This window comes from Homo sapiens, chromosome 2 (assembly GCF_000001405.40).
Source record: "Homo sapiens chromosome 2, GRCh38.p14 Primary Assembly".
NCBI lineage: Eukaryota > Metazoa > Chordata > Mammalia > Primates > Hominidae > Homo > Homo sapiens.
Genome location: NC_000002.12, coordinates 224,578,213 through 224,586,204, shown reverse-complemented (window position 1 = coordinate 224,586,204; position 7,992 = coordinate 224,578,213). Strand labels below are relative to the sequence as shown.

At 45.4% G+C, this 7,992-nt stretch overlaps 1 protein-coding gene across 2 annotated transcripts in view, besides 2 other annotated features; it reads left to right on the top strand.

The window, feature by feature from the left end:
• Positions 369-788: a silencer, noted in NCBI's record as "silent region_12383". NCBI's record gives its function as "represses an Ori minimal core promoter by ATAC-STARR-seq in GM12878 lymphoblastoid cells {active_cell/tissue: GM12878}" and the evidence as "EXISTENCE:reporter gene assay evidence [ECO:0000049][PMID:35858748]".
• CUL3 (cullin 3) overlaps positions 842-7,992 on the top strand; it is a 115,214-nt gene continuing 108,063 nt past the window's right edge. For both annotated transcript variants that reach the window (NM_001257197.2, NM_003590.5), the window contains exon 1: positions 842-1,261. In NM_001257197.2, the coding sequence (NP_001244126.1) occupies positions 1,196-1,261 (66 nt within the window). In that variant the 5' untranslated portion in view covers positions 842-1,195. The remainder of the gene's footprint in view (positions 1,262-7,992) is intronic.
• Positions 1,119-1,378: a silencer, noted in NCBI's record as "silent region_12382". NCBI's record gives its function as "represses an Ori minimal core promoter by ATAC-STARR-seq in GM12878 lymphoblastoid cells {active_cell/tissue: GM12878}" and the evidence as "EXISTENCE:reporter gene assay evidence [ECO:0000049][PMID:35858748]".

Here is a 7,992-nt window from a genome sequence, read left to right as displayed (position 1 = left end):
ACAGGTTTTAACATGAATAAGCCCTGGGTCCACCAGAAAATATCAGTGAATCAAGAGGTCCCGAAGCTTATGCAGTTTAAGGGAACTTCGTAGATTAAATTTCCACCTTCCAGTCCTGAGAGCTGTGGTGTGCACACCCAGTCCGAATACCTTGTTGAGCATACAGGACACTAATTTCCGACACTGCAGCTAACTCCTGCACAAACTCTTCAAGTTGCAGGCTTCTACTCAAGTACCCATCCCTAGTCCACATGCCCTAGAAAAACACAGGAACCAGTTCGGGACGTAGTTACACATCTAGCACCCCACGCTCCTCCTCAAGACTATCCTCCTGCTGTCCCAGCCCAGTGGGGCCCAGCCCACTACCATCCCGCTCCCGCTCTCCGAACTTCCCCCCTCCCACTCCCCACCATGTGACCAGGACCCTCCCAACCGCCGCTCCGAGCTCCACCAATCAGCAACCACCTCCACCCAGAACCCGGGACCTGGCGCTCCACTTTCAAAAAGGCAGCTTAATCCTCCCGCCCTCAGCCACGCCCCCTTTCCGCTTCCCCGCCCCGCCGGCCCCTCCCACTTCCTTCAGTTCCCTGTTCCCCTCCTCCCCTCCGGTGGCGCCCACCCTCTCCCGGGCTTCGCCCCGCCCACCAGGGGGGCAGCGCGCTCGCCCTCTTCTCGCGAGATCTGAGCGTCCCCCGCGGCGGCCGCCGGGCTCCCCCTCCCGTCCTCCCACCTCCCTCCCCCGGCATCTCTCACTCTCCGGCTCTCCTCCCTCCCTCCTCCCCCCTCCACCCTCTGGGCCGGATCTCGTCTCGCTCAGGCGGAGGAGGAGAAGGAGGAGGAGGAGGACGACGTTCGGCCTGCGCAGTGAGATGTTTGTCCGTCGCCGCCGCCGCCGCCATCGCGGAGGAGCGCGATAAAGGGAGCCGAGCCGGACGTGAGGGGGACCCCGCGGAGCCGCCGCGCCAGCGCAGCCCCCCAGCCGCATCGGAGTCGCCAGAGTCCGAGCCGCCGCCGCCGCCGCCGCCGCCCCCGCCGCCGCCGCGGCTGCCCAGGGGCCGGCCAGCTCCCCAGCCCTGCCCGGGGGTCGCGCCGCCGCCGCCCCCAGCGTCGCCCCTAGCCTGCCTGCCCGCCTTAAATGTGACACCGGCGTCGCGGAGCGCGACCTGAAGCCGCCGCCGGGGAGGGGACGAGCACCATGTCGAATCTGAGCAAAGGCACGGGCAGCCGGAAGGACACCAAGATGCGGATCCGGGCCTTTCCGGTGAGTCTCTCCTCGGCGTCCGGGACCCCGGGGCCGGGGGCCGGGCCGAGAGCCGCACGCGAGGCCCGGGCTGAAGTCCCCCAACAGGCCGCAGGCCCGGCCTCCCCTCCCCCACGCCCGCCGGCCGCGGGGCGCGAGCCTTCCCGGCAACCGGGCGGCGCGGGGCCCCGGCGCGGCCGCCCTCCCGGGCCGTTCCCCGCGCCGGGAGCCCGGGCCTGGCGCCGCGCCCCCGTCCGGGAGCTGCTCCTTCAGCCGCTCCGCGGGCGTCGGCTGCGGCCGGGGCCCCTCGGCCGCCCCACGCCTCCCCACGTTGCCGGGGTTGTAGGCCCAGTCTCCGGCGCTGCTAGCAGCCGCGGAGTCCTCCCTGTGTGGGGCGTGTGTGGAACTTTTCACGTGGGGTTTCGCTACACTTTGAAAATTTACCCAGCCTAGCTTTTAGGGTGATGAAGGGGCTGCCCTCTCTCTCTGCCCCCCTCCCCAGGAAGGTCTATGCCATCAACCTGCCCCCGACGCAGTGACAGTGGTTCCACGGAATGCTCCGTGGTCATAAACTAGTAACATTGGGTGTATTTATAGCGTCTTTCATCCTACAAGCTTCCTAAGCACTTTACAAACTCTTGTGCAGGATTGCCTCGCCACTCGGAGGAAGGCCGGGTGGGGGGGAAGCAACAGAGAGCAAACCGGCCAATTGGTTCTCCATTTCTCAGCCTTGGGAGCCCAAAGAATGAGTGTAGTCGCCTTGCGGAGTAGCTTTGTTTCATCGCTTTCAGTGACAGCAAACGTGTTCTGCTCAGAAACTTTTTCTTTTTTGGCATTACGTTGAGTCGTACCCTTGCGATGTTTAGTATATAGGATATAACTTTGGGTGTCAAATCTGGTTCAGCTTCCCCGTGGCAAGCAATTAAAATGTACTGTTAACGAACTGGGCATACTTGCCTATGTCGCTACAATAAAAGGCATACGTCAAGACAGACGAACTAGCAATCGGACAGAAGATTTTAAAAAGTAAAATTAGAGAAAGATCTTGGTCTTCCCTTCTTAGATTCATAAATACTTCATATGATGTACCAGCGAAAGAGGGGGATTTGTTGTCACTTTTTAAAGCATGCTTTTCCTGAAGCGCAGTTGCAGTGAGGAAAGACTTACCTTGATGTGATTGCCCCAGTTGAGTCAAGTGATTTAGTTTCAGAGAACATGAGGACCTCTCTGAATTCCTAAAATTTAAAAGGATACACCTCATGCAGAATTCTGAAATTGTAAGAACATAAATACTAAAGTCAGTGTGCGAAAACCTCTGCTTTGTGTAAATAGGTACGATGGAATTTAGGAGAATAAGTGTTTTGATAATAATTAAAGATTTTTTGAATGTTTCAAACTTTTTTCTAAGTAAACGTGAGAAATGTTGACAAGCGAGTACTAACGAAGCTTACTAGTATGTTTTCCCTTATAATTGGGCAGAGCTGGGTTATGCATTTGTGAGTGATATTAATTTTCCTACTAAATTCTGACCACTTTAGAGTTTAGAATTACTTAGAATTTTATGAAGTTAATAGTTGTATACAACAGATTTTCTTTTTTTTTGAGACAAGAGTTTCGCTCCTGTTGCCCAGGCTGGAGTACAATGGCGTGATCTCAGCTAACCGCAACCTCCGCCTCCTGGGTTAAAAGCCTCCTGAGTAGCTGGGATTACAGGCATGCGCCACCACACCGGGCTAATTTCGTATTTTTAGTAGAGACGAGGTTTCTCCATGTTGGTCAGGCTGGTCTCGAACTCCCGACCTCAGGTGATCACCGACCTCGGCCTCCCAAAGTGCTGGGATTACAGGAGTGAGCCACCGCGCCAGGCCTATATACAACAGATTTTCTAGCAGTGTGTGCAGCCTTACACTACTCAATTCTTGAAGTCTCATGTTCTAAATAAGATTTTTTGCTAAAATGTGGAGTAACTCAAATTTGACATCAACTCACTCAAGTTAATGGCCTTCTGATTGACCAGTTGTACGTTAATGTATGTGTAATTAAACTCTTTGACCTCTTCAGGTTTCCCTGCTCTTACCTGTTTTGCCATCATTTAATTTGTTCAGCAAATACTGAATATTATGTGCCAGGCACTGTTCTGGGGGTCTGTCAGTATAGCTAGAAAGACCAAGATCCCTGCCTTTTGGAGCTAATATTGTTGGGGAGAAGAGGTGGGAGAGAATTTCATTATTCCTTTAGCTGACCAGTATAATAACGTTGTGTGATACGTTACCACATAGTACTGGAACTGAATTTTTTTTTGTTAGCTTCGTTATGATTATGAGCTAATTTGGATCCATTCTGTCTATAACTTTTGCAGGTTTTTCTGAAAACCTTACATGAAGTAAGTGACTAGTTTTGGTATTCAGTAGTTAATAGCTGCTGATTTCTAAAAGAATTTTTCATTACTGTTTAATAAGTATTAATAACATTCCTAAGTGATTCCCATTGGAAAGAACTATTACAGTTTATGGCCCTTTGTTACAGATAGATGTATATCTCAGTGTTAGGGTGTTTCATAGATTTATCTTACTAACCGTGTGCTTATAGACCTTCAAAATTCCTGTCTTCCAGATTGGCAGTCTTGTTCATAACTACAGACTGCGTGAGTTGCTAGTCAAAAGTAGTTAATACCTAGTGTTCCGTAAAGAAAAAATATGGCCGGGCGCAGTGGCTCACGCCTGTGATCCCAGCACTTTGGGAGGCCGAGGCAGGTGGATCACCTGAGGTCAGGAGCTTTGAGACCAGCCGGGCCAACATGGTGAAATCCCATCTCTACTTAAAATACAAAAAATTAGCGGGGCGTGGTGGCGGATGCCTGTAAACCTAGCTACTTGGGAAGCTAAGGCTGGAAAATCGCTTGAACCTGTAAGGCCGAGGTTGCAGTGAGCTGAGATCGCGCCATTGCACTCCAGCCTGGGCAACAAAAGCGAAACTCTGTCTCAAAAAAAAAAATTGTTTATGGTTATACATATGTACATCCTTAATTGTTTATGGTTCCACATATGTACATATTTAAAAATTATTGTATTTTACATCTGTTGTTTGGATGTATACTTACTGTAATTTAAGGGAAACTGTAGTTTCACCAAAAGTGTCAAGCACTCGGCCGGGCAAGGTGATTCACACCTTCACACCTGTAATCCTAGCACTTCGGGAGAGGCAAGGCAGGCGGATCACCTGAGGTCCTGAGGTTAAGAGTTGGAGACCAGCCTGGCCAACATGCAAACCCCTGTCTCTACTAAAAATACAAAAATTTGCCAGGTGTGGTGATACACGCCTATAATTCCAGCTGCTCGGGAGGCTAAGGCACGAGAATCACTTGAACCTGGGAGGCAGAGGTTGCAGTGAGCCAAGATCGTGCCACTGCACTCCAGCCTGGGCAACAGAGTGAGACTGTCTCAAAAAAAAAAAAAAGAAAAGAAAAATTATATATGTTTAAGATGTACATGATGTTTTGATATATGTATACATTCTGACATGATTACTACCATCAAGCTAACACATAATCACCTCTTTTTTTTTTTTTTGAGATGGAAACTCGCTCTGTCACCCAGGCTGAAGTGCAGTGGCACGGTTTCAGCTCACTGCAACCTCCGCCTCCTGGGTTCGAGCGATTCTTCTGCCTCAGCCTCCCCAAGTAGCTGGGATTACAGGCGTGTGCCACCACGCCTGGCTAGTTTCTGTCTTTTTAGTAGAGATGGGGTTTCACCATGTTGGTCAGGCTGGTCTTGAACTCCTGACGTCGTGATCCGCCTGCCTTGGCCTCTCAAAGTGCTGGGATTACAGGTGTGAGCCGCCACGCCCGGCCAATAGTTCTGTTTTTTATGTCTGTGTGATGAGAACAAGTAAGATCTACTGCCATAGCAAATGTAAAATATGTAATATAGTATTATTAACTGTTCTTAACTGTGCTGCACATTTGATCTCCACAATGTATTCATCTTAAAACTTGTATCCTTTGACCAAAATCCACGCCCCCATTTCTTTCATTCCCCAGCCTAGGCCTTAGAGCAAGACTCTTGTCTTAAAAAAAAAAAAAAATCTCAAGCACTCATCTCAGATTGTTTTACAAAATTAACTTGTAAAAAAATATAGAATTGTGTTTTGAGATTGTTTTCATTGCAAAATAGAGTGGTAATTGAACTTACTGGATATTTTATAGATACTACTCCAGATAAATTCCCATCAGTAATATCAGATTCTTTTTAGTGTTTTGAGTGCATTTTTTTTTTCTTTTTTGAGACAGAGTCTTGCTCTGTCGCCCAGGCTAGAGTGCAGTGGCACGATCTTGGCTCACTGCAGCCTCCACCTCTTGGGTTCAACCGATTCTTGTGTCTCAGTCTCCCAAGTAGCTGGGACTACCGGTTTGCGCCACCACGTCTGGCTAATTTTTGTATTTTAAGTAGTGATGGGGTTTCGCCATGTTGGCCAGGCTGGTCTTGAACTCCTGATCTTAGGTGATCAGCCCACCGCTGTTACGCAAAGTGCTGGGATTATAGCTGTGAGCCACCGCGTTTCAGCCTTAGTGCGTATTTTAAGTATACCTTCATCATTGTCTGTAGAAGTTATAATACACAACAGTTTAATGCACAATTTGCATTTTTAAATAGACCTTTTCCTAGAAGTTCTTTTTAAGATGGAAGACAATAAGGACGTTTCTGTATTTGTAAGCTGTTGACAAAGGAAAAGTTTATTCCAGTTTATAAGCTTTCCCGCCTTGCACAAAATGTATCATTTCACATCTTTTTGATAATGTTTAAATTTTAATTTGTATGCAGAGGAACAAGGACCACAAAACTTTTTAAAGAAAGCAGGCTGTAATTGTGAAACTTCTGGAAATAATGTGGGTCTGGATCAAATAATTCTGCCCCAGGGAGTCTCTTCCTTACTCCTGGGCTTTGTTCCACTATGTAGGATTAGTTGCTTTCAGGTGAACCTTTTATTATCTTTATCTTTGAAAAATCATTTCTTACCATTTTTACTGTCTGGGGTTTTGCCCACATGGGTTTGATGAGCTTGATTAGAATTGGAGAGGATACGTTTGAATGAAAATGCTGTCCTTTCCTGTATCAAACGGTAATAAAGCCTTTCTTGGCCTAGCCTTCAGAGTTTGGGAAACCTGTTATGAAGGTGACTGTCTCCAGAATGTAATCAGGCTCTTAAGATCTCTACCCTGGGGTCCTGGAAGTAGCTTCAGTTAGTTTATAAAAGCTTGCTAACTCATCAGGAGAAAGAGTGTTATGATAAAATGCCCACTCCCTAATGCTAGAGGAACTCCACTTGTGTAGCATGGACAGCAACTGTTTGGAAGTGATTGTTAGCTGGAACATACAGGGCGACTCACATTAGTGAAGGAGTTTTATGTTCATTTGTGATATACTTAAGAACAGGAAGAGTCTTAAGGACAGATGGGTACAGTTAATCTTTTTTTTTTTTTCTTTTCTTCGAGCTACAGAAATGTTTGCCAGATTTGAGGGAACAGCTTTCATCTTCATAGTAGGTTTCTCTTTCTTAGGGAAGGTAGTTGTTGGCATAGTACTACCTGGACTGGTACATAGAGGAAAGCTGGATGGTAGTCTTGCAGATCACACTGAGCAGAGAATTAATTATAAATTTGCTTTTCATTTTTCATGTTATGAAACAAAGTGAAACAGATTCATTAAAGTGTTACTTATACTTAAACTAATACTGTTTATAGTTTTGGGACAGCCAGTATTGTCATAGCTGTTAGTACTACTATGACTTTAGAAGTTAGAAAAATAAAAGCATACGGTTGTTATTAACAAAGTATTTATTTTGTCTTGTCTTTCTAGATAGCAGTTCAGAGGAACCTGGAAAATTATTAGTACCAATATTGAATTAGAAACTATTTAAGTAATATGAAATATAATGTAAAAATTTGGCTTTTTAAGTAATACATAAATCACAAACTTGATTCAAACAAATTAGAGAATGCTTCATTTGTTTGTACATCATTCATTAAATGAAGTTAAGGGATGAAAGCATTTGTCCAGTTCAGGAAGATTATATGATTAAGGCTAGAAAAAGTGGTATGCCTTTTTTTTATATTATACATTGGGGGACTTTAAAGGGAATTTTTTGTTATTTTCATTCCAGAGTACATGGATGGTCTTTAGTAGTCCTGTTAGGTTTATATAAAAGTTACTAGACAATTTGTAGTTTTAAATAATGCAACTTTTTTTTAAAAGTAGTTCTTGTTAGCCCATTGTAAGGTCAACAGAATGTAAAGGTATTACTAGTAAGAACAAATCACTGAGTTAACACATGAATTACAATTAGTTATTAGTCTATCAGTGTCTTGTGAAAACTATTCAACCATAGTCTGTTAAAGCAATGAATTTATTTTAGTAGCTTTTCTAATTATAACAATGATGTATATTCCTGGTAGAAAAATTGATAATTATCTAAATGTACAAGTAGGGAAATAAAAAAAATCACCTGTAATCCTACCACTTGGAAACAAACAACATTAACATTTTCATGTGTTTTTGGAATTTTAATTTCATATTGTTGGCTGAACAGACAGTAAAATTAAGGTAAGATAATCATTGTATATGCTGCTGTTAAAAAATTTCTTACTGTAAATTTTTGAAAACATAGTTTTTAATGACTATCATACTTCAGTTTGCTTAACCATTTCCCTATTGCCAAATATTTTGGTTGATTCCAGGGAGTCCATATTTTTTCTG